Source organism: Homo sapiens, chromosome X, assembly GCF_000001405.40.
Source record: "Homo sapiens chromosome X, GRCh38.p14 Primary Assembly".
Lineage (NCBI taxonomy): Eukaryota > Metazoa > Chordata > Mammalia > Primates > Hominidae > Homo > Homo sapiens.
The window spans coordinates 22,992,034-23,018,826 of record NC_000023.11 but is presented as its reverse complement, the minus strand read 5'-3'; the positions used below and the strand labels follow the sequence as shown (position 1 = coordinate 23,018,826).

General features: G+C 39.0%; 1 protein-coding gene and 1 long non-coding RNA gene across 2 annotated transcripts in view; one reads left to right on the top strand and one right to left on the bottom strand.

Annotated features, from left to right (window-relative positions):
• PTCHD1-AS (PTCHD1 and PHEX antisense RNA) overlaps positions 1-26,793 on the top strand; it is a 1,100,142-nt gene that overhangs the window by 274,320 nt on the left and 799,029 nt on the right. The window lies entirely within an intron of this gene.
• Positions 15,238-18,867, bottom strand: DDX53 (DEAD-box helicase 53). Its single transcript, NM_182699.4, has one exon. The coding sequence runs from the start codon at positions 18,767-18,769 to the stop codon at positions 16,874-16,876; it is 1,896 nt and encodes a 631-aa protein (NP_874358.2). The 5' UTR covers positions 18,770-18,867; the 3' UTR covers positions 15,238-16,873.

Here is a 26,793-nt window from a genome sequence, read left to right as displayed (position 1 = left end):
TATTGGTCTATTTCACTTGAAAATCAATCCTTTATATGCCTTTGAGAGATTCCTACACACATGCACAAGGGAACTTATCTAACCATGTTCACTACGGCATTATTGTAAGAGTCCCAAACTACAAATAATCTACATGTCTATGTATAGAGTAATGGATACTCAAATAGCCATAGAATGGCATGCTATTCAAATTTAAATGGATGAACTAGATCTACATATTAATAAATCAGCTTTGATAAATTTCACTACCTATTGAGCAAAGAAGATTTTCAAAAAGATTCATATGGCATGACACCATTTATATAAAATTGAGAACATGAATAACAATACTACATAGTAAAAATAAAAATACACATGGGAAGGATGCATACCAACTTCAGGAGAGTAGTTACCACTGGAGTACAAAGGAGGGAAATAGGATAACATAGAATTTTAAATCTCTATAGTCTTTAATTTCTTAACAAAATAAACTCTAAAACAAATATGACAAAGTATGAACATTCTGTAAATTTACATATATATATATATATATATATACACCTGTTATTTGTTAAATGTTTTATGTATGTTTTGTTATTTAAAAAGAAAAAAAATTATAAATAACATGATGGAACTTCTGTAGAACCCAGATCTTTCTGCTTTCAAAGCTGGAAAGCTTTTCACTACCTCGGTTGCAGAAAAGAGACCTAGCCCTGCTTTATAGTATTTCTCTTATCAATAGTGTCAGGAACATGGTTAGACACCAGTGTCACAATGGTTAGTTATTTGTTGGTCACATCCCAGGAGGCCCCTGATCTACTGAGGTACAAGGTGGTCAAATGGTGGGATTCCTGGCAAAATAACGAATGCTTTCTTTGCACACTCCAGAGTCAGATGAATTGGGAGATAGGTGCCAGACTGGGATGTGTATACTTGCCGGAGACCCCTTACTTCAGAGGTTTTGTCACCACTCTAAACATAGGGCTTTGTGCATGCACCTTTTCTCATTTTGCTACTGCTATGTAAGGCAACTTCTATGATGAAGAACTTTTGGCTAGTCTGTGAAGCCCAGCTAGTTGCTGTGTCTTTGCTACTAGGTTTTTCTTTCTTTCTTTTTTTTTTTTTTTGAGATGGAGTCTTGCTTTATCACACAGGCTGGAGTGCAGAGGCAGGATCTCAGATCACTGCAACCTCCGCCTCCTAGGTACAAGTGATTCTCCTGCGTCAGCCTCCTGAGTAGCTGGGACTGCAGGTGTGTGCCACCGTACCCGGCTAATTTTGTATTTTTAGTAGAGACAGGGTTTCACCATGTTGGCCAGGATTGTCTCGAACTCCTGACCTCGTGATCCGCCCACCTCTGCCTCCCAAAGTGCTAGGATTACAGGCGTGAGCCACAGCGCCCGGCCCTTTGCTACTAGGTTTTTCACAAGAGCACAAATTTCTCATGTAGGTCTAACTGAGGGCTCAAGAAGCATCTTGGTTTGCCATGACAGCCTACAGAATTAGGTTTCTGAATAAATAATGAGCCTTGACTCCAGTAAGTGGAGATCATTGGCCCTGGCCAAAACCCAGTGGTCTGAGCCATGTCTTCTTTTCTCTTCACAAAACTACGGTTGAATTAGGAAACTTTAGGGTTTAGTGTTGGGGTTGACAGATCTATATAAACCTTTCAACTCCTAGCCCTACCATGACGCCTGGTATGATCGAATATCTCTCAAAAAATAGGAGCCATCTAGATGAGAGCAAAAAACATATCTGGCAAAAAAATTCCATGAAACATTTCCTCTGAACCAGCAAATTTTGTCTTTGAAACATCCTTCCCCCAATGGTTTAGTACAAATTTAACTGCATAATAATAATTTATTTTCCTTCTCTTCTAAGTTCTTTGACCCTCAAGTAATACTTTGTACAATATTAATATTTATATTTTCTGGCATATTCAATATTGTATTCTAAGATTTTCTGAAGCAGCCAATATGATTAATATTTATTTAGTTTTCTATATGAACTACTTAAATCTCAACATAGAAAACTGATATATTAAGATACCATATCAATGATAAATGAAAAGAAATGATAATGAATTAGACATGCAGTAAATAAGAAAAAAAAAACTTTGTCATATTTGAGAGAGTTATCCTAAATCAATTTCTTTGTGGTTTAGGATGATATGAAAAATAAATAGTGCCAAGAAATATCTTCATCTTATCTAAATCGTAAGTGTAAAAGTCAACATGTATTTTTATTGCTAAAATGTAAATATCTAAATATGATAATGATGATAGTGAAACTGAGTTTCATGTAAAAGTGTTTTGGGGGCAAATAAATTTAAGTGGTATAATTTGTCTTATTTTAGACATGAAAGTTTATTAATTGAACAGCTTCAGATTTTATAAAGAATAGGCTTGGTAGATAATGATGATATGCATAGTATTGTGAGTGCTATCCTTCTTGGAAAATGGTTATTAAAATTCATTAGAAGTAGCTATTGCTTGTCAGATGATTGTATAAAAGTTTCCAAAAAGAATGGGGTAGATAAAATGTGCGATAAAATAAATAATAATGTATATACCAATGAATTGATTATCCAGATAGCATGAAAATCCTCATATTTCAAAGAAATGCTAAAAAAGAACTTTAACAGTCTCTGCATGACAACTAGAAGTGATAACTGGATTCATAAAATAATAAATATATATGAGCTTTCTTCATAAGAAAACCAATGTAATACTATAGCTTCTACAGTCCCCTTTTTCTGAAGATTACCTTCCCTCAAGCATAGGGTTGAGGTCCTAGCAGCTATGGTTGTGCTAGAGGGCTCTGTCACCACTAGCCCTCTCACCCATAACACTTGATTGGACCATGAGTAGATACCTGATCCAAAGTGGAGCAATCAGTTCCTCTCATAAAGAAATATAAACCTGGAGCCAGACATTCTACCTCAATCTATATTGATAGCATTGACAGAAGTAATGTAGATCAGGGAGCTATGGAATCAGCCATATTCCATCACGTGCATGCAGAAACAGCAAAAGGCACTTTGTAGAGGGAGGAGAATGAAGCAGACAGGCAGAGAACAGCAGAGGTCGAAAACATACATCTTCCACAGATGGACCAAATAAGTGGAAAACATACATCTTCCACAGATGGACCAAATAAGTGTCCTCCCCATGGGAACAACTCCGAAAACAAAAGGATCATGTTTTTGAAATTCTTTTATTTATGAGACATTAACATTTATAATTTGTGAGTGACAACTAGGTGGAATTGGCCTGTACCATTATCTTACCATTTTTTGTTTTAAAAAACCTATTGAGTATAATACTTTTTATACTGGTTGCTTTATATGTATATCATCAAGTCTTCATGAAGCACAGGTTAAAATCACCATCCATATTTTAGAGCTGAGTAAACCAAGACTTAGGGCCTTTATTTTTATTTTTTTTGAGACAGAGTCTCGCTCTATCGCCCAGGCTGGAGTGCAGTGGTGCGATCTCGGCTCACTGCAAGCTCCGCCTCCCAGGTTCACGCCATTCTCCTGCCTCAGCCTCCCGAGTAGCTGGGATTACAGGCACCCGCCACCACGCCGGGCTAATTTTTTGTATTTTTTAGTAGAGACGGGGTTTCACCGTGTTAGCCAGGATGGTCTCGATCTGCTGACCTCGTGATCTGCCCGCCTCTGCCTCCCAAAGTGCTGGGATTACAGGCGTGAGCCACTGTGCCCAGCCTAAAATCACCGTCCTTATTTTAGAGCTGAGTAAACCAAGACTTAGGACCTTTATATAACTTGCCCAAACTCACGTAACTGACTGCAGCTGGCCAAACAGAGACTCAGGCTCAGGTCTTTCTGACTCCGGAGACTATGCCCTTAACTATTATCTTATGCTTGAATCTGGAGGCAGCAACTGGTATCTTCTGAAAAGGAAAGGGGGAGATCTTTTTCCCTTATCTACATGAACAGTAAGTTCAGCTTACTCTGCATACTGTGCATGCTGTTCCGAGCTCTGAATGACAGAATGAGGTTTGGGGGAGGTAAAAGGCAGGCTATGTGTTTTCAGCTAAACTGGACACACAGTGTATGCATGTGTAATATATGTGTATGTGTTGCACACTTGTGTATGTGTTGTAGAAGGGTGGGTAAGGAGGAGACCCTTTTCCAGAAGTAGAAAACACTTATCCCCTTTAGTTACCATCATTTAACATTCTCTTATCTGTGAGACAGCAGAGTTAAATTAGAATGAAATGTCATATGGTACTTGATGGGAAGGCACTATAAAATAGCGTGTGTGTTACAGGAAGGGCCTACAAAGAGAACAAAAACAGAAATGCCTGGGAAGGGATATGACAAAGCCACATTTATTGATTGCAGAGAAAATTAAAACATTTATGTAAAATGGCATATAGGTTCTCACAGGGCATAAGCCTAAAGTCAGTTAGTTTGGACTTCAGAGGGATTTTGCTGAATATGAGAAATGGGTTCCAATTGAAATTTTAATTAGGACCCCAGAACACATTGGTATACTTACTGCCAAAAGTTCGCCACATATTGCAAGCTTAGGAAGATTGGATAGACTTTATTTAAGCTGGGTAAACATCATCGCAGACATTTTACCCCATTGGAAGAGCTAGAAGAAAACAGAAACAGAATTTTGCAGTAGGAGAGGGTATCTGAAGAGGGGACTGACATTTACATGAAATGTGAAAACAATGACGGGCTTTTGGTATTGTCTATGTGCTGTGTGAGGAGCACACAGAATTGAAGATTGTGGTAGTTTTCTGAATTTGAATGGCACTGAACAGCTTTAGCAGCAATTGGAAAGTGAAATGGAAGAGTCAGCATAAGGAGAGAAGACCAGTCCTCCTTTCATCTTTTCATTATAGATTTTTATCCAATCAATACACCAAGAAATTCTGAATTACCTTTTTTTTTTTTTAAAGGGAAGGACACTTGGGTTGCAGGAAAGGAGGAGGGAGGGAGAGAAATGTTTTTGCTGACTTTCACAATATTCTTGTAGAAATACTTGCTCTTCTATTTTTTTAATTGGATTTTCAGGCTTAGGTGGGAAAACAAACATGGCCCATCAATTCCTGTCTCCATATTCCTCTTCTATATGAAAAGGTTTTTTAAAAAATTTTCCTTGTGTTCATGAGAAGATTCCTATTGCTTTGGGCTATATATCTCCATTAGGTAGAATTGTTCACCCTGAGCCCCTCTAGGCTGTTGATTGCAAGAATTTCTCCGGTTGGCTACATTTCAAATCTGTCAGAGCCAGTGATGTATTCCAGGTGCAGCCAAGTGTGAATGCTGTTAACGCTATTGGATCAGATGACCTTGATATTGGGTCTCTTCATGACTGCAGCTCAAGTTTTCTACTCTGCTTGTTTCTCACTTCTTCCTCTAATTGCTGCTGACTGTTCAAAAGCTGGGCTTGTTTGATATGCTTCCAATTTTTATAAAATTATAGTAATTCCCTATAGAATCCTGTGTTTTCAGTGTCCCCATTAAATAAACATCCAAGAGAAGAGTTTAATTTGCTTATTATAGTCAACTCTCATCCAAATAAAGTATACCTCATTGGACCCTCTTCTCAATGATGGAAAATTCACAGCCTCCACACAAGGTATTTTATGGCTATTTTTCCAATTTATCAGTTAGGATACTTTGGGCTGCCAGTAATATAATAACTAATAATGACTTAAGCAATAAAGATATCTGTTGCTTTATATAATACAAAGTTCATAGATAGGGGATTCCTGGGTATATTGCTTGGGTCCAATATTTACTGGGGGTAACACCTATGAAAGATAAAGAGGAAAAGTATCAAGAGGTCAGGGAAATCCTTCTGACTGCAGCTCAGATCTGATACCTGTGAAAGTAGAAGGTAAAGAGAGGAGGACTGGGTAGGAAGAGCCTAAAACTGCACTGAGGCTCTGAGAAATCAGGGTGAGCCTAACGGGGAGCTCTGCTGCAAATATGGCCCATAGAAGAGTCCAGTGTTGGGCAGAAATGACTGGGCCCCAGTGTCTCACTGTGCTCAGCTATTGGTTGAGACTTCCTGGAAAAGGCTAGCCTTGGCTCAGATGCTGCCAAGGATTGTCTGCAGTTGGGGGCTGTCAGCTAACTGCACTCCACACAGCTGATCAGCAAGCTTTTTCTTGAATGGAGATGAGCTGCACACCTCCATAGCTGCCACATAGAGTTTAATTCAGCAGCACAGTTATGTGATCCAGCTGCTTTCCAAATCTCCATGTGGTCATACTTAGCATGCTAGTATTCTTCTTCAAATTTATTTCTACATTGTCTAAAAATGACTGTCACAGCCTCATATCTTCACACAACTGTACAAAAGCAGGAAGGACCTCACATGTCTCTGTTTGTAAGGGAGAGAGATCTTTCTCTAAAACTGCCAAGCAGACTTTCCTGTCAGTGCCGTAGGCCACTTTCCTGTCACATACCCATGCTTTATCTGTAAGGCAGGCTAGGAAAGTGAATGTCTGGCTTTTGTAACCTCTATAACAGGAAGTGGGTTATGCCAGCAAGTAGGAAGGGACATAAGAGGGAGGTGGTGGGCGTAGCTGTTGGGTAGGTAAACCACCAGTGTCTGCCACCCTAAATATGGCTAATGTGGCACTTCATAATTTTATTCCCAGAAAAATTCAGATTTTAGAAGTTATAAATTGAGCCTGGATTTATGACTTGTTACACTGGCAGTTTCTTTTGCTTATCTTGCATGCCCCAAATATTCGTATCCCTTCCCCCAGCCAGCAGTATGAAGCTTCACTGCAGTCTTTCTTCAGATCATTTCTTACTTTTCTTTTATTGTTGTCATGGTTCTGTAGTTTACTAAATGCCACGTGAGCAGATATCCAACCAAACCATTTAGACTAATATTTTATTTTATTTTATTTTATTTTTTTTTGAGACGGAGTCTCACTCTGTCGTCAGGCTGGAGTGTAGTGGCACGATCTCAGCTCACTGCAACCTCTGCCCTCCGAGTTCAATCGATTCTCCTGCCTCAGCCTCCCGAGTAGCTGGGATTACGGGCGCCTGCCACTGCACCTGGTTAATTTGTTGTATTTTTTAGTAGATACCGGGTTTCACCTTCTTGGCCAGGCTGGTCTTGAACTCCTGACCTCGTGATCTACCCGCCTTGGCCTCCCAAAGTGCTGGGATTACAGGCGTGAGCCACTGCGCCCGGCTAGACTAATATTTTAAAAAGGACTTGTGAAAAGTCTGATTACTCAGTGATTGTAATTCTCTCATTTTAAGCTTTCAGTTTACCATGCGGGTTTCTCTAGTGCTAGAAAGCTGCAGAGACGCTTAAGGCCCGAGAAGAAGAGTGGTAAAAACATTGCATAGTGTGAAAAATACCTTTACAGGGTTCTTATTTTGCTGTAAACTGAGATGTCTGTGTGCTTTGCCTAATAATGTCTTTCTCATCTCTCCTATATTTCTGTGTACTCTAGGTCGCTTCTTCATTGAATCTATAATTTTCAGCACAGAGATAGCAAGCTCTACTTACTCACTTTTTGAATGTGGGAAAGTTATGCAACCTCTCTGAGCATTAGTCTCCTCATCTGTAAAATAAGATAAAAGTGTCCCTTTTATGTGGGTGCCTTGTGTAAAAGACACAAACAACATATATTATTTCTTATTATAAGGTGAGGTGTAGGCCAACAATTGTCAACAGACAAAACAAGTAACAGAAATAGAAAAGTTTACTTTTGCTCAATGAAAATAAAATAATGTACTTATTTTCATTCAGCTATTTACTGTGCTCCTACTATGTTCGAGGCATTGTTTTTAGCACTTAAGATGCAGTGTTAGCATGGACACACAGAGGGGAACAACACATACTGGGGCTTTTTGGAGGGTGGCGTGTGGGAGGAGGGAGAGGATCAAGACAAATAACTAATAGGTACTAGGCCTAATACCTGGGTGATGAAATAATCTGTACAACAAACTCCCATGACACAAGTTTACCCATGTAACAAACCTGGCACTTGTAACCCTGAACTTAAAAGTTAAAAAAAAGATGCAGTGTTAGAAAAAAGATATCTCCTATTAGTGGCATTTACATTTAAGTGGGGGAAAGACAAGAGATGCTTGTATTTTAAATACCCTCAGATACAATGCCTGTTGAATTAATTTCTGCAGTCATTTAATTATTCATTAAGTTACTTTTGAAGCAGTTATTCAAAAGTTATGCTTGACGTTTTTATTATAATAAAAGTAACATTGTTTTATAGAAATTTTAGAAAATAAGGTAAATATTAAAACCATCTAGTGGCCAGGCGCGGTGGCTAACGCCCATAATTCCAACACTTTGGGAGGCCGAGGTGGGTGGATCACTTGAGGTCAGGAGTTTGAGGTCAGCCTGGCCAACATGGTGAAACCCCGTCTCTACTAAAAATACAAACATTTGCCTGGTGTGGTGGTGTGCACCTGTAATCCCAGCCCCTGGAGAGGCTGAGGTAGGAGAATTGCTTGAACCTGGGAGGTGGAGGTTGCAGTGAGCTGAGATCACGCCACTGCACTCCAGCCTGGGCGACAGAGTGAGACTCCATCTCAAAAACAAAACCATCTATAATCCCATAATGTAGAAAACCATGGTTAGTGTGTGTGTCTATGTGTGTCCATTTCATTTGCTTTTGTTTATATAGATATATGGACCAATGTAGTTTTCTAAAAACAATCGAGATCATTTTATAAACTGCTTTTCCTTATATTTTAAAATATTTGTTAAGAACATGATTTCTGCTATTCCAAATCAAGAACAGATATGCTACAATTTAACTAGTATCATATCATTGGACCTTGAGGATTAAAAAAAATTATGTTAATTAACACTATGATAAATAGCCTTGTTTATAAATACTGGTATGTATATCTGATTATCTCTTTGGGATAAATGTCTGGAAGTAATATTACTGAGCCAAAGGCTGTTAAACATATACAGATTATACGTATAATCTCAACTGTCCCTTCACAGAATAGAATTAAATCGAATTTTAATTTATCAGTGTTTATTTCCCTGCATCCTTTGTAGCATTAGACCCTTAAAAAGAACCTTAACCCAATTTGTTAGAGAAAAGTTACATATTGGTTTAATTTTAATTCCTTTGATTATAAAGAAGTCAAGCACTTTTTAATATATATGTTGTTCACTTGTCTAGTGAGTTGCCTTTTACATTTCAGCCCATATTTATTCATCTTTTACTTTTTCTTTGTAAAAAGCTCCATATATAAAATATAAATAACTATGATCATATTATATATTTTAAATTATTTTTCTGGTGTTTCCTTTGCCTTTGATGATATTTTCAACATTAAGAAGATTTTCATTTTTACTTTATCAAACCTATTCATATTTACTTTTAATTTTCTGTGGTTGCTTTACTGTTTTAAAATTATTTTCCACATTGATATCAGAAATTATTTCTCTCTATAAACTTGATGTTCTTTTGTTTTTTATAAAAGCAATAATCTTGTGGGAATTATTTTCTAACAGTAAGAGTTTTTTGGTTGATCAATTGTCCTGCTATATATTATGTATTTTTCATTTATTTATTTTACTTATTTGGTTTGGAATAGATTTTTCTTTCTTCACTGATTTAAAACGGTCTACCTTTATTGCCTACTAGATTCCTATGCAGATAGTGTAAATGTCAACATTATTCTTTGATAACAAGAACTGTAACTGCAGAAGTTTTGGAATGAAGGAGAGTAGATAGGAACTTAGGGAAGATATGGCACTTTGGCTGGACCCAGAAAGATAAAGGTGATTTGTCTTGGCAGAGAGGAAAGAGAAAGGGCATTCCAAATGGGGGAAAACAGCTTGAGCAACACCCAGAATAGTTAACAAGTATTATATATAGTAGGTGATGGGAGAGGGAAGGTGGAAGGGACCTAATATTTGTTGAATGCCTACTGAATGTGAGTCACCATGCTAAGAATCTTATGCACAACTCTGAGGTCAGCTGAATCCTCGTACTTTGAGTCCTGTGTATATTCAGAGCTTTGCTTTCCATCTGTCCCAATTTGTATGTAGAACTAAGTATTTCTTTGAATTTCTGAAACACAGTTTACTTACACAAAAACTTCACTGGTCAATCAATGCAATCAGTTTCTTGACCTCAACACTGTATGTTCTGGACTGAAAAATCCATTGTTTTAAGTTACTGTGCTGTGCATTTTAAGTTGTTTATCCTTGACTTCTACCCAGTAGATGCCAGTAGCAATGCTGCCCCCTAGTAGGGACAACTAAAATTGTCTCCAGACATTGCCAAATGTCCCTTAGGGAGCAAAATCAACTCCAGCTGAGAAATACAGATTATACCAAAGAAAGGAAAGTTAGTGGAGGGTTTTTTTTTTTTTTAACAGAGTCTTGCTCTGCCACCCAGGCTGGAGTGCAGTGGCGCCATCTCAGCTCACTGCAACCTCCGCCTCCTGGCTTCAATCGATTCTCCTGCCTCAGCCTCCTGAGTAGCTGGGATTACAGGCACCCGCCACCACGCCTGGCTAATTTTTTGTATTTTTAGTAGAGATGGGGGTTTTACCATATTAGTGAGGCTGGTCTCGAACTCCTGACCTCAGGTGATCCACCCGCCTCTACCTCCCAAAGTGCTGGGATTACAGGCGTGCATCACCATGCCCAGCCAGTGGAGGATTTTGTATTGCGCAGTGCACAACAAATGAATATCCTCTTTTTGTTTTCCTTCATAAAGTCCCTTCTTGGCTTCTCTACACCTAGGTTTGCGCTTTTATTTTTGCTTAATCCATTGCAAGGTTTCTCAACTGTGGCACTACTGACATTCAGGCCAGATAATTCTTTGTTTTAGGGAGCTCTCCTATGAATTGTGGGATGTTTAGTGGCATCCTCCGACTATACCCAGGAGATACCAGTACCACCACCATCACCCCCAGTTATGACGACTGATATGGTTTGGTTGTGTCCCCACCCAAATGTCATCTTGAATTGTAGCTCCCATAATTCCCATATGTCGGGGAAGGGACCTGGTGAGAGGTAATTGGATCATGGGGCGGGTCATTCCTGTGCTGTTCTTGTGATAATGAATAAGTCTCATGAGATCTGATGGTTTTATAAAGGGGAGTTTCCCTGTACAAGCTCTCTTGCCTGCTCACCACATAAGACTTGCCTTTGCTCCTCCTTCACCCTCTGCTATGATTGTGAGGCCTCCTCAGCCATGTGGAACTGTGAATACATTAAACCTCGTTTTCTTTATAAATTACCCAGTCTTGGGTATTTCTTCATAGCAGTATGAAAATGGACTAATACAGTAAATTGGTACCAGTAGAGTGAGGTGCTGCTGTAAAGATACCCAAAATATGGAAATGACTTTGGAACTGGGTAACAGGCAGAGGTTGGAACAGTTTGGAGGGCTCAGAAGAAGACAGGAAGATGTGGGAAAGGTTTGGAACTTCCTAGAGTCTTGTTGAATGGCTTTGACCGAAATGCTGATAGTGATATGGACAATAAAGTCCAGGCTGATGTGGTCACAGATGGAGATGAGGAACTTGTTGGGAACTGGAGCACAGGTGACTCTTGCTATGTTTTAGCAAAGGGACTGATGGCATTTTGTCCCTACCCTAGAGATCTGTAGAACTTTGAACTTGAGAGATATAATTTAGGGCATCTGGCAGAAGAAATTTCTAAGCAGCAATACATTCAAGAGGTGACTTGGGTGCTGTTAAAAACATTTAGTTTTATTCATTCAGAAAGATATGGTTTGGAATTGGAACTTACATTTAAAGAGGAAGCAGAGCATAAAAGTTCAGAAAAATTGTATACTGATGATGTGATAGAAAAGCAAAACCCACTCTCTGAGGAGAAATTCAAGCCAGCTGCAGAAATTTGTATAAGTAATGAGGAGCCAACTGTTAATTCCCAAGACAATGGGGAAAATGACTCCAGAGCATGTCAGAGGTCTTCATGGCAGCTTCTCCCATCAGAGATCTGGAGCCTAGGAGGACAAAATGGTTTCATGGGCTGGGTCTAGTGTTCCCCTGCTGTGTACAACCTAGGGATTTGGTGCCCTTCGTCCCAGCCATGCCACCTGTGGCTGAAAGGGACCGACATAGAGCTTGGGCTGCAGCTTCAGAGGTTGCAAGCCTCAATCCTTGGCAGCTTCCACGTGGTGTTGAGCCTGTGGGTGCACAGAAGTCAAGAATTGAGGTTTGGGAACCTTTGCCTAGGTTTCAGAGGATGTATGGAAACACCTGGATGCCCAGGCCGAGATGTGCTGCAGGGGCAGGGCCCTCAAGGAGAACCTCTGCTAGGGCAGTGCATAAGGGAAATGTAGGGTGGGAGCCCCCACACAGAGTCCCCACTAGAGCACTGCTTAGTGGAGCTGTGAAAAGAGGACCAACATCCTCCATACCCCACGATGGTAGATCCACCAACAGCTTACACCGTGCACCTGGAAAAGCCACAGAGACTCATTTCGAGCCCATGAAAGCAGCCGGGAGAGGGGGTATACTCTGCAAAGCCACAGGGACAGAGCTGCCCAAGACCATGGGAACCCACCTCTCGCATCAGCGTGACCTGGATGTGAGACCTGGAGTCAAATGAGATCATTTTGGAGCTTTAAGATTTGACTGCCCAGCTGGATTTCACGCTTGCATGGGCCTGTAGCTCTTTTGTTTTAAGCAATTTCTCTCATTTGGAATGGGCAGATTTACCCAAGGCCTGTACCTCCATTATGTCTGGGAAGTAACTAAATTGCTTTTGATTTTATAGGCTCATAGGTGGAAGGGACTTGCCTTGTCTCAGATGAAACTTTGAACTGTGGACTTTTGAGTTAATGCTGAAATGAGTTAAGACTTTGAGAGACAGTTGGGAAGCCATGATTGGTTTTGAAATGTGAGGACATGAGATTTGGGAGGGGCCAGGGACAGAATTATATGGTTTGGCTGCATCCCCACCCAAATCTCATCTCGAATTGCAGCTCTCATAATTCCCACATGTCATGGGAGGGACCTGGTGGGAGGTAATTGAATCATGAGGGTGGGTCTTTCCCACACTGTTCTCATGATAGTCTCATGAGATCTGATGGTTTATAAATGAGAGTTCCCCTACACAAACTCTCTTGCCTGCTCACCATGTAAGATGCACCTTTTGTCCTCCTTCACCTTCCACCATAATTGTGAGACCTCCCCAGCCATGTGGAACTGTGAGTCCATTAAACCTCTTTTTCTTTATAAATTACCCAGTCTTGGGTATTTCTTCATAGCAGTATGAAAATGGACTAAGACAACAACCCACCAAATCTTTCTCCAGACATTGACAAAATTGGGCCTGGTAGAGAACCACTGATGTAGACTACACCAAAGACAGGAAGTTTGTAGGGATACTTTTTCTCTGCAAAACCCGCAAGATATAACTTAGAAACCCTCTATTTTTTTTTTTTCTTTGACGTGCCTTTTTGGTTACTAAGCAGTTGGTTTTGGTTGTTTTTCTTATGCTGTCTCAGGGGTTCCCCATCTCAGCACTATTGTTTTGTGCCAGATAATTCTTTGTTGTGAGGGGCTGTCCTGTAGATTGTAGGGTGTTCAGCCTCTACCCACTAGATGCTAGGAGCACCTCACCCCCTACCCATAGCTGTAACAACCAATACTGTCCACAGATATTGTCAAAGTTCCGCTGGGGAGCAAAATCACCCTTGGTTAACAGTCATTGCACTATTTCTACTTATCTTTCTCTATACACTGGTTCTTCTGTCCAGCATTATGTTGTAGAAGAAATGCATACATCTCTCATTTCCTTACTCATAGACATTGAGTGATAATTTTTCTTGTTAAGTGTTACTTACACATGATTATGGAAATATACTATCTCAAGTGGTTGAGTTGTTGCATTCTTTTCTAACAAATATAGCATTGCCCCTAAGAATAATTCTGGAAAATAACATATACTCTAACTTGCTAAACATTTATCATTTCTCCTCTTGAGTGAACAGCACTAAGCCATTTGAGCTTCTATTACAGTTCTGCTATAGATTGCCTTTGCATTAAATTTGCACACACTTCTCTATTTCACTAAATCTGAACTTGTAGAGAACCTCAAGACAAGCATATTGCCTTTAAACATAATAACTATACTAAAATTAAAAAATATAAATATTGGAATCAGGCACTGCCGGGTCAAAATATCCCTTAAGTCCTCTAAATATCACTTAATTTCTCTTTAATCAGGTTTAGGGCCCTTAGGCAAGTTAGCTCCTCTGACTTTGCTTCATCCCCTGCAAAATAGGGGTAAGATTTCCTTCCGAGTGGCGTTCTTATAAATATTAGAGATTAGGAGATAAAGCGCCAGGTATGTATCACTCAACAATGTTAACCATTGTTATTAATTTTATCCAGAGATATTAAGGTCTACATTTTAAAAAGCCTTTAAAGTCTATACTTTAAGCCTTAAATACCTATACCTAGAACATTTACTTCTTTCTTTCCCTTATTTTCTGACTTATTTGTAGTCACAGGTAAGGCATGCTGGGGAAAAAAGTTTGTTGCCTTAATTTTTCTCTTGATTTTACCAGAAATGTTAACTAATTCTAATGTTTTCATGAACACTGAATTTTAAAGTTTACTTAACATCTTTGTAGGGATTTCTTTTTGCAGGTGTGAGAAGCACCTTGCTTCTAAATAAGGCATAAGAGGTAGAATTATAGATAAAATTAGGAAGAGTTTTACTAAAATTGGTTCTTATGGCAAAAACGTCATTTGGTTTTTTTTTTGGTTTTTTTTTTTTTGAGACAGAGTTTTGCTCTTGTTGCCCAGGCTGGAGTGCAGTGGCACGATTTCAGCTCACTGCAACCTCTCCCTCCCGGGTTCAACTGATTCTCCTGCCTCAGCCTCCCGAGTAGCTGGGATTACAGGCATGCGCCACCACACCCAGCTAATTTTGTATTTGTAGTAGGGACAGGGTTTCTCCATGTTGGTCAGGCTGGTCTTGAACTCCTGACCTCAGGCGATCCGCCCGCCTCGGCCTCCCAAAGTGCTGGGATTACAGGCGTGAGCCACCGCACCCAGCCCTTATTTGATTGGTTTTAATGTTTTTCCCAGTAGATAAATTTTTCTTTCACTTTAATTTTTTCCCCGATATATGTATCTATATATATATGGTTTTGACCTTCAAATTGAATTAAAATAAAGCATGATGAAAAGAAAAGCAAAGAATAAAATGAAAACCTACCAGTTAAATTGCAAAATCAATAAAAATGCAGAATGCACTATTCTTGTCATTGAAAAGGATTGTTTTATTCAATTATACAAGGATGCAATTTCCCCTAGATTAGACAAAAAAGTGTTAATACAAGGCTGGGGTATACAGTTTTAGTTATAATGTCACCGAATTTTAGAGGTAAAAGAGACCTCTAAATTAATAAAACTGTCCCATTTTATGAGTAGAGAAATTGAGGCCTAGAGAAGGCAAGTGATTTCCTCAGAGTTTTAACCAAGGGTTAGTGACAAAATGCATACAAGGACCTGAATCCCAGTGAGTCAGACATCCTGCTCTGCTGGTGACATCATTCTGATAAAAATAGAATTGTGGAATCTTCTAAAAAATTTAGCACTTATTTTCTAATGAACTAAAACAAGTAGAGAATGATAGTGGAAATAACTTTAAGAACTGTTGTGGCACCAACTGCTCGGGGGAAAAGAGAATACTTTGACTGGATAAGCTTGAAGCTATGCTTCAATTTAGTACAACTATTTTAAAGCCAGAAAAGCACCATTGTTGTCTTCTACCAAGTGTTTTAGAGAAGACAAATGGACATGGTAGACTATAAAATTAACACAAGAACAGAAACTCAAATACCACATGTTCTCACTTATAAGTGGGAAGCAAACGATGAGAACTTATGAACGCAAAGAAGGAAACAGCAGACACTGGGGTCTAGCTGATGGGGGAGGGTGGAAGGAGGCAGAAGAGCAGAAAAGATAATTATTGGGCACTGGTCTTAATACCTGGGTGACGAAATAATATGTACAGTAAACCCCCATGACACGTGTTTCTTTAACAAACCTTCACATATACCCCCAAACCTAAAATAAAAGTATTTTTAAGAGAAATTAAACTTTAACCAACACATAACATTTACTTTCTCTTCACATAGTCTCTCACTCTCTCATTTTTGAGACTTTTTTAAAATTAAGGAACATACACAATATTGAAAGTTGATAAACCCCCATGACACGTGTTTCTTTAACAAACCTTCACATATACCCCCAAACCTAAAATAAAAGTATTTTTAAGAGAAATTAAACTTTAACCAACACGTAACATTTACTTTCTCTTCACATAGTCTCTCACTCTCTCATTTTTGAGACTTTTTTAAAATTAAGGAGCATACACAATATTGAAAGTTGATAAACCCCCATGACACGTGTTTCTTTAACAAACCTTCACAAATACCCCCAAACCTAAAATAAAAGTATTTTTAGGAGAAATTAAACTTTAACCAACACATAACATTTACCTTCTCTTCACATAGTCTCTCTCTCATTTTTGAGACTTTTTCTAAAATTAAGGAACATACACAATATTGAAAGTTGATAAACCCCCATGGCACGTGTTTCTTTAACAAACCTTCACATATACCCCCAAACCTAAAATAAAAGTATTTTTAAGAGAAATTAAACTTTAACCAACACGTAACATTCACTTTCTCTTCACACAGTCTCTCACTCTCTCATTTTTGAGACTTTTTTAAAATTAAGGAGCATACACAATATTGAAAGTTTAGCAGTATTATTTAAGAATTAGTTATGTCTTCAAATGGCTAGTATGTTTCCAATACTTCCTTACATATATTCAATACTGCATATCTTTAACATGCCTGGAATCTTCCAGTAGCCTGGTACAACTTTTCAACTTAAAAAATAAAACTCCTTGCGTCTTTGTCCAGGTTTTCTTGATCGTGTTTCTCTGTGCCTCTTTTGTTGATTTAACTTGTATTGCTCAGCCATTACTACAAGATCTTCCGGAACACTCTGATTTGCTCTGTCCAGAATTTTAATCAATTCACCGGCCATTTTCGAATCTCTCTGAGTGATGAGGGTAACTGATGTGCCAGTCTTTCCTGTCCGTCCAATGTACCCTACTCTGTGTACATATACGTCAATATTCCTTGGGAAATCATAATTATATACATGTGTGACATCATTAAGATCAAGACCTCGGGATACTATATCAGTTGTAATCAGTATCTTTATGTTTCCGCTTTTAAAGTCCTCTACTGCTCGCTCTTGATCACTCTGTTCACTGTTGCCATGTAATGATTCTGCAGATATGCCTTGGATATTGAAGTCGCTTGACAAGTCATCAGCAATATGTTTTTGGCTGACAAACATGATGACTTTGTCGTTGGGTGACATGTTCTCTACGAATTCTTGGGTGAGAGCTCGTTTTTCTTTTTCTGTGGTAACAATTATATTTTGCTTCACTGTATTTACAGCCACTAGATTCAGATTACCAACATAAACAATCATAGGATCTTTCAAATAAGAAAGTGCTAGTTGACGTACAGTATCTGGCCAAGTTGCACTTGTCATAACAGTCTGTCGGTCTGGGCGCACATCTAATAAAATCTTCCTTATCTGGGGTTCAAATTCCATATCCAGCATTTTATCTGCCTCATCTATAACCAAGTAGGTTATGCTTCTTAGGTTGACAGAGTTATTCATTTGTAGGTCATTCAGCCTCCCAGGAGTTGCAATAATGATATCTACACCTTTGCTAATGTCTTCTATTTGTCCATTTCTGTTTCTACCACCATATATGCAAATGCTTTTGAGACCTTTATATGAATACTTTGAACATTCAGCTTCCACGTGAAGAGCCAACTCTCTAGTGGGTGTAAGGACTAGCATCCCAGGCCCATTCCTTTGCTCTCTAGATATTGGTTGAGAATCAAGATGAATAAACCCAGGCATTAGATAGGACAATGTTTTCCCTGTTCCGGTTTGTGCAACTACTATAAGATCTATTCCTTGTAGAATAATTGGCCATGCCTGTGACTGAATTGGCGTTGGCTTTACAATCCCTACCCTTATTATGCTTTTCAGAAGATCAGGGTATTGCTGAAAAGCGTCTTTAAACCTGCAAGTTGGTTTTGGAATGAGACGCTTTTCACCACTTTTCAAGTCATCACACGTTATGTTGAAATTTTCCTTTCTCCAGTTAATCACCTGCATTTCAGACATGCAGCTTGTTGCTTTGGATTCTATGTAAAAGTTTTTCTTAACTGGTGGTAGATCTGCCCATTTTCTCTTTTCGCACTCCACGACTGCTGCCCTAATGCGATCCCAATTTGACAATGGCTCAGCTTCTCCAACAATGTCATTTCTGCCTAGATTTCTTCCAATAGGGGTTTGGGATGCAGCATTATCCACACTGGATTCTGAGTTGTAGCTTTCTTGTTTTCTAATAAGTGTTTCTATAGCCGCTTTGGCCTTTGCTTTCATTTCCCTATTGCCAAAAATTCTGACTTTTGCTTCAGATTCCCCGTTTATGATCTGTATTTTAGTGTTTGTCGAATGTTGTAGATCTTTTATTTTTGATCCACTGTAACCAATGACCACACCAACCATATTGTTCTTTATTTTAAAGCAGAGTGGTGGTTCACGGGAGCCTGCTGCTCTCGGTCCCTGATGGCCGAAGGGGCCACTCCAGCCACTGCCTCTGCTGCCCCTGACATCCCAGCTGGCCCCAAGGTCTCTTGGATTAGCCTCCGCCCTCTTCCACTCTGGGGCCCAGTGGGACATTGTGGGATAGTGGGAGTATCGGCACCGGCTTCTCGCCTACATACGGTTGGAAGTTCAGGTCTGCGGCCTGTTTCCCGTCACCTTCTGCACCAAAAGATGGCGGTGGCAATTATTTCCGGGTGCTAGTCACATAGCTACGCAGAAGTTGCCCCAGAAACCAGTGTTGGCGTCGAATTCCGGGTCGTGTAGGGGGCGAGGCTTTGATGGCCTGACCAATCACAGGGCTTGGACTGGGGTGAGGTAAGCAGGCGTCTGTGACGCAAATTTAAAGAGGCACTCACTCTCACGGGCTGACCCTGCCAGCACTTACAGGACCCTAGGAGTAACTGCCTCCTTAACTTCTGCGTCCCGGGTGCTCCTTTCACTCTTCTCGTGATAGTTCTGGCTCAGCTTGAGAGCAACCTTGAAGCACGCCTTAAACATACACACCATATACACATTGTCCTTTATATAAGCCAGTTATTTCCCTAAGAGAAAAAAATAATGCATTTAAAGTAAAACTATTTATTTATATATTCGTGTGTTCATTTATTTTGGTAAATTTCTTTTGGAGTGAATACAGTACTTTGTCAGGATAAATTCATCATTCCCTGTCCTCTAGTGTAACTTAAATTCTACTAATCAGAAATCTCTTAGGTGCACACTCTAGGACAGCGTTTTGCCTTAATTCATCAACTAAATGTCAACACTTGTTTAGGCAGTTTCCAGATATTATTACAGGGATGATGGTTAGAAGAGAGGTAAAGCAGTGCCTAAGGTACTTTAGGGGCTGTTTTTAGTGGTTTGTCACTTTTCTCAGTGCCTCTTCATTTTTTTTCCTTCCCTGTGGTTTGATAGCTTCTGAGACCTTAGCACTGGAAGGTTGTGTAGAACTCATTTATTAGGTACACGTAGAAGACATTCTAGCTGCAGTCTGGACAGAGGGATATCCAGCTTCCATTTAGACACTCCCAGAGGCAGGGAGCTCACTTCATTTCAAAAATATCCATTCCATTATGAGGCTGTTTAATGGTTACAAAAGTTTTTTGAACCAAAACGTGCGGCTTCCTGTGTCCTTAAGTCCTTCTGAGTTCTGAAGTTATACAGAATAGGCTTGATTCTCCTGTATCCTTGTGTACTAAAGGATCTGTCAAAGTTTTCTTTTTTTTCTTTTTCTTTTCTTTCTTTCTTTTTTTTTTTTTTTTTTTTTGAGATGGGGTTTCACTCTTGTTGGCCAGGCTGGAGTGCAATAGCATGATCTTGGCTCGCTGCAACCTTGGCCTCCCGGGTTCAAGTGATTCTCCTGCCTCAGCCTCCCGAGTATCTGGGATTACAGGTGCCTGCCACCAAGCCTGGCTAATTTTTTGTATTTTTAGTAGAGACAGGGTTTCACCATGTTGGCCAGGCTGGTCTCGAACTCCTGACCTCAGGTGATCCACCCGCCTTGGCCTCCCAAAGTGCTGGGATTACAGGTGTGAGCCACCGCGCCCAGCCTCTGTCAAAGTTTTCTGTGCATCAGGGCAACATTTCCAGTTTCTTCGACGTTTCTTGCTATGACATGGTTTCCAAGACACACATCATCCTATTGCCTCTCCTTTGGAAATGGTTCATTGAGGACCATTTACAATGTAGCACGCAGAACTAAAAAACAGGAAAAGACAAGCAAACAATCTGCAGAAATGGCATTACTCCTACTATTAGGGCATCTTTACTGAGCATGACAATTCTACTAATTTGACCTAAGAACTCCTGAGACACAAAGCTGCTCACAGTAACATGACGTGCATTTAAGTTCTTGCTTCTTTTACTTACTCAGCTGATTTTTTTTTTAATTTGCTTACCTAAATGAAGACTATGTATGTATCCTTTTATAGTCATCTTATTAAGTTTGATCAATTGATGTAACCTATGAAATATAATTTTAATGATTATTCTGTCATCCATCATATTAGTCTCTAGTTTCAAGTCTTCTGCCAATTTAATGTTCATAGCATCTTTGTCTCTTTAGTCAGTCACTGATTAAAATTTCATCATGGTCTAGTATAGGACAGAAGTCTGACACCTTGGGAGAAAACTTCTCTGTGTCAGTACTTTTTGTAAAAGATGCTATTTGAAGAAATAAAAAGGTTTCTGGTCAAATATGTTTGAGAAACACAGCACCCTATATTCTCTCTGTTAAAATCACAATGCTTATTGGATATTTTAGGAGCTATGATATTTACAGACATTGAGAAAAATCAGTTGTTTAATCCAAAGTTCCCCAAACGAATTTGCTAATGGATATCTTCATCAATTATTTAAATAAGCTTTTTATTTGGAATAATTTCAGATTCACAGAACAGTTACGGAGGTAGTGCAGAGAGGTTCCTGTATAGCCTCAGCCAGTTTCAGTTTCCTCTAATCTTATCATATCTCATTATCATGATACATTTGTCAAATATAGGAAAACACTATTGGTGTGTTACCATTAGCTAAATTCCAAACTTTATGCTACCAGTTTTCCATTAATGTATTTTTTCGGTTTCAAGTTCCACTCCAGGACACCATACTGCATTTAGTTATGTACAGTTTGTGAGAGTTTCTCAGTTTTTTCTTATTTTTCATAATCTTTCCAGTTTTGAGGAGTAATGATCAGGAATTTTGTAGAATGTCCTTCAAAAAGGTATGCTTGATGTAACTTCTCATGATTAGACTGGGGTTATGGGCTTTTGGAAGAAAATATCACAGAGATGAAGAGCCTATCTCATCACATCATACTGGGGAGATAGGTACCTGATGTCAACGTGACCCATCATTGGTAAGGTCAACCTCGGTCCCTTGGATAATTTGTGTTATTCAAGTTTTCTACACTGTAAAATTATTATTTCTCCCTTTCCATACTCTATTTTGTGGAATGAGTCACTAAGTCCAGACAACCCTCAAGGGCTCAGTTTGCATTTAAATGCAATCTTTATTATTATTTTTTACAATTAGTAGTGTTCTTTGGAATGTATTTTGGAAACCACTGGTATGGATAAATACAAATTACCTGACCAATTTTTTTTTTTCATCTGGTTGTTGAACCGGATATATTCTGATCAAGTCACATTACAACTCCTCCATACTTCTCCATGAATTGTATTAGGAATTTTAAGGCATTCTCAATGTCTTCTAGTTTATTCATTATTTTAAAAGGAAATTTGTTTAGTTACACGTGGCTTTTACCTCTTGAAGGATGTATTATGTTTCTCTGTCTTTATGCCTTCATCTTTACTTTGAATAATAGTTAATATTACAGAACTGTAGAATTCTACAGGTGTTGGGTACATCAGAGGTCATTTTGTTCTCCCTTATTACAGAGAGTGAAATTGAGGTTCCAAAATCTTTCTGGAATTGACTGAAGGTACTCAGCAAATTATTGAGAGTAAAAATTTAGAACCATTTGTTGACTTGTGGCCAGTCGGGAAAATAGTACAGGACATTACTCCTTTACTACGAAGTGACTTGCTTCTATTCTTATTTTTTGTGGGTGATACAGAAAAATAGAAGAGGCCATGAAAGTGAAGTGAAGAAAAGTCATATTGTTGGGAGAGGGGTAGTTGTAAAATCTGGGTAGAGAGCAGTGCACTTTAAGGTGGAACTCATTGTGGTGAATTACTGTGATGACACAGAACTGGTAGAAGACTTGTGGGTATTGAAGATACTGAGAGGGATTGTGCTTTCAGGATGATTCATTACCATTTACAATTGCCCGTATCAGTTGGAAAAAATATTTGTCAGCTCAATTAAGGGCCACCAGTGTGATGTTCTTTGCTCTAAATATCTCTACAACGGCCTTATTCACTGTATCTGAAATATTCTCACTAAATATGTATCTCTATGGCTTATGGCTTGGTATGTTATTAGCATGGTCCTGGAAAAACAAAACACAAAAATGTGAATTTGTCGGTTAGATGCTTTCCAGTGGAACAGCTGGCTAAAAGATTCTTTTAGGGCAGAGAGTGGGAAAGATGGGAAGAATGTGTAAAGTTTCCCCCAAGGTAAGATAAAAAGGGTTATGTAAGGAAAGACAAGAGTATGTTTAAGACGGTTTCTACCATTTTGCTTAGGGCAGTCCCTATAATCTTAGAGGCAACAGTAAGAGAGTGAAATATTGCAGGCAGTGAATTGGGCTAATTTGCCATCACTCCGATTTCTTCAAAACTCTCTTAAAGATGAGTTAATGTTGCTGGCCTAAAATAGTCTCATATATGGGACTCCCTTAGAAATGATAGTGATAGTGTTTTATTTAATAAATCTGCTGTGATGGTCTAAGGCAAACTTGACTTATGGAATTCCAGTTAGCACTGTTGATGATAATAATTACAGTTGGTTTTGCATCTGTACAGCACTTTACAATTTATAAATACTCTTTATGGAAGTAGTTTCCTTGGGATGATATATATCTGGCCATTATTCTGTTCAATAGGTGTGCTATATTATGGCAAATGTTGCAATTATCATTGTACATATTGGTATGTTTATTTTGTATATAGAATCATACTCATACCACAGAGTCTAAAGAAGTAGCAGCAGTGTGGTGTAGTTAGCAATCAAGAACACTGGACCTTAAATAACTGGGTCCAAATATCACTTTCACCATTTATTCACTGTGAGTCATGAGAAAATTGTTTTAGTTTTGCTGTCTGTAGAATGGCATACTAGTACCTGTCTCATACACACACACAGGCACACACAAAGTTTTACTAATTGGTTCATAGTAGGAACTCTCCAAGTATCAATTATCCCTGTTACAGAAACAGTAGGTATAGAGAGACAATCATGGAGATTCCCTGTCCAAGGATTTTCCTGATAGCTTCCTCTGGTCCATATCAAAATGAAAAAAAAAAAAAAAAGAAACAAACAAACAAAAAAAACAAGGATAATAGAACTTTTTTACCCAAATCTAAATTTATTCAATGTAAACTTTTTTATTCTAACATTATGCCCTACTATCTTTTGTAAAATATACTTTTAAAATGAAATAAGGATTTCAAATTATTTTTAAAGGTCTCTCCTAGGGCAAGAAAGAATGTAAATCTAATGGCCAGTAGCCTAATTAGGCTTTGAAATGTTATTGGTGTATGAAACCCAAGTGCTTGTAAGCACTGATGTGGAACATCGAATGTGGTTTGAATGTTTTTGTTCCCCCGAAGTTCCTATGTTGAAATCCTAACCCCAAAGGTGATGGTGTTAGGAGATGGGGCCTTTGGGAGGTGACTCGGTCATGAGAGTACAGCTCTCATGAATGGGATTAGCTTGCCCTTGTAAAACAGGCCTGAGAGAAACCCCATGCCTTTTTTGTGATGTGAGGTTACAATGGAAAGGTGGCCATCTGTCAACCGGGAAGCGGGCCCTTACCAGACACCAAGTCTGCTGGTAACTTGATTTTGGACTTCCCAGACTCCAGAGCTGTGAGAAATAAATTCCTGTTGTTTATAGGCCATCCAGTTTATGGTGTTTTGTTATAGCAGCCTGGCCAGACTAAGACAATTAGCCCAACAAACACAAATTAGAATGCTATTAGGTGTTAATAATGGTTGCAGGCAAGAAGGGCCGAAGGGAGGTTGGAGAGGCTGGAGAGTTGAGGCAAAGACCTATAAGGGGAGTGGGTTTGATCTGATACTATAGGAGGTATGAAATTAGAGATAGAAGGATGTTAAAGTTTCAGGGAAAAAAAACAAGTGTGGCCTTTGGGAAGAAATCAGGGCAGCCTGGAGGACTAGGACAAAAAATTCAGGTTAAGGAGAAAGGGGAAATGGAGAAGGATGGTTTGGGTCAGGGGAAAGGAAAAGGGAACTTTTAGGAACCTTAAGGACAGTCAATGAACTATCAAGTTAATATGGTAAAACAGTGGGAAACTTAGAATGAAGGAGTCATATGACATTAATGAAGGAAGTGGGTCCCTTTGGAGAAAGTAGAATGCAGGGAAGTGGGGTTGAAAAATGGGGGCTTTGTTTTTGATATCTCAAGTACATGGGACTGAGGGACTTGAACAGAGTGTGGTAGTTTAGCAGTGGGAACTCGGAGAATGGAACAGATAGAAAAATCACGTCTGAGAAGCAACTAACATTTTTGAGTTCTACTATATGCCAAACATTTTAAGTGTATTATCTCATTAAATTACCACAGCAACTTCATGGTATGTATTTTCCGTCTTTTTCATGTGAAAACATTGAAGCTCAGAGATGTTAGATAATATATCCAAGTTCATGCAAAGTTACGGTAAATAACTTTAAACATGAATAAATTTAAACGTGGATATGGTTAGCTTCAAGGTCTTTTCCCTTCCACCTAATCCTAGTTTCTAGGGAAAAAATGTGCTTGATTTGGTGCCTGGTTCTCAGATAAAAAGAGTCTTTAATTAAAGATGACTCAGTCTTCCAGGTTAGAGACTTATTGAAGCAGAGAATCTTGAAGCCATTCGACAGGAAAGGCGGAGGGGAAGCAGAGGAGTTTGGTTTCAGTCATGTCCAGTTTGTGGTGTTGTGGGGGGCATACAAGTAAAAATGCTAACTGAACCTGGAGATTTGGGACTGTAGTTCAGATGAGAAGACGAAGAGAGATTTGAGAATAGTCAGCATAGAAGTTATAGTTGAAACTCTAATTGAATACTTGAACAAATAGACAGTAGTGAAAGACAGGTTTAAGAACATTTTAAGGAACCATAGAATTCATATGATTAGATAATGAGAAGAGAAAAACAGGAAGGTAGGTGAAGAGAGAGTCTACATAGTAGGAAATAAGGCAGGAGAACTTGTCGAGGAGTTTTGGTAAACAATATAAAATTCTTCAGAATGACAGGAGGGAGGTAGACTACTCAGTTTTGGAGATGAAAATCATCAATGACCTTCAAGAATGCCCTTTTTGGCCCAGCGCGGTGGCTCACGCCTATAATCCCAGCACTTTGGGAGGCCAAGGCAAGCAGATTGCTTGGGGCCAGGAGTTCGAGACCAGCCTGGCCAACATGGCAAAACCCCATCTCTACTAAAAATACAAAAATTAGTCGGGCATGGTGGCATACATCTGTCATCCCAGCTTCTCGGGAGGCTGAAGCAGGAGAATAACTTCAACCCGGGAGATGGAGGTTGCAGTGAGCTGAGATTGTGCCACTGCACTCCCACCTGGGCAACAGAGTGAATGACTCCGTCTTAAAAAAAAAAAAATGCCCTTTTTGTAGAATGATGGAGAAACACGTATTTTAAGGGAAACAATTTCAATGAGAGATGACTAGACCACTGGGGAACTTTGTAGTGATGGAGTGAGAACTTTATGTATCTTGTACCTGAAGCTCAAAGGCAATGTCTTAATTTTAAACAATGCTTCTAGAAAACAAGACTTTCGGGGACAGGTTATTGCAATTGTTCTGGTAAGGATCCAATGGACTTCAGGAAAATTACTTATGAATATTGGAAGAAAATGAACTTTAATAGTCTTTGGAAATATGTGGGAGGATATACAATGAGAGAGGGAATCACAAGGATACAAGAACCATTCATTAGCAGTTTCAGAAAAGGAAAGTCTGTTTAAAAGGAGGGAGGAGAGTGCTGAGAGTTCTTTCAAGGAGATTACAGTGCTATCTTTAGCTACGCATTAAACTTTTCTCTATCAAATTTAGTTTATTCTCCACAGAATAGGGGTATGCATTATTTAGGTATGTGAAGAAGTGAGGTTACTGAAGTAATTAATTCTTTTTTCAGCACAGACAGTAAAAAATAGTGTGAGCTGATTAGCACCTGCAATAAGCTCCTTCAGAGAAATCCTTGCTTACCAACTACTTCCTATAGAAATGTTAACATATTGGTATTCATTTTAAAAATAATAATAACCTTGCCTCTATTTTGAGGCATTTGAAGGGCTTTCCAGAACTATTTCATTTCTGATAACTATGATGTAGGTAAGTAGAAAGATAAACAAGATTATCTATATCATTTTGCATTGCATAAAGAAGTCAAACAACAATTCTTAAAATCATGGGGTTGTAGAGGTGTAAAGGATTGACTTTGGAGAGCATCTCTTGTAAAGCT

Coding starts and splice junctions, on each gene's coding strand:
- DDX53 (NM_182699.4), bottom strand. CDS start 18,769: ATGTCCCACTGGGCCCCAGAGTGGAAGAGGGCGGAGGCTAATCCAAGA.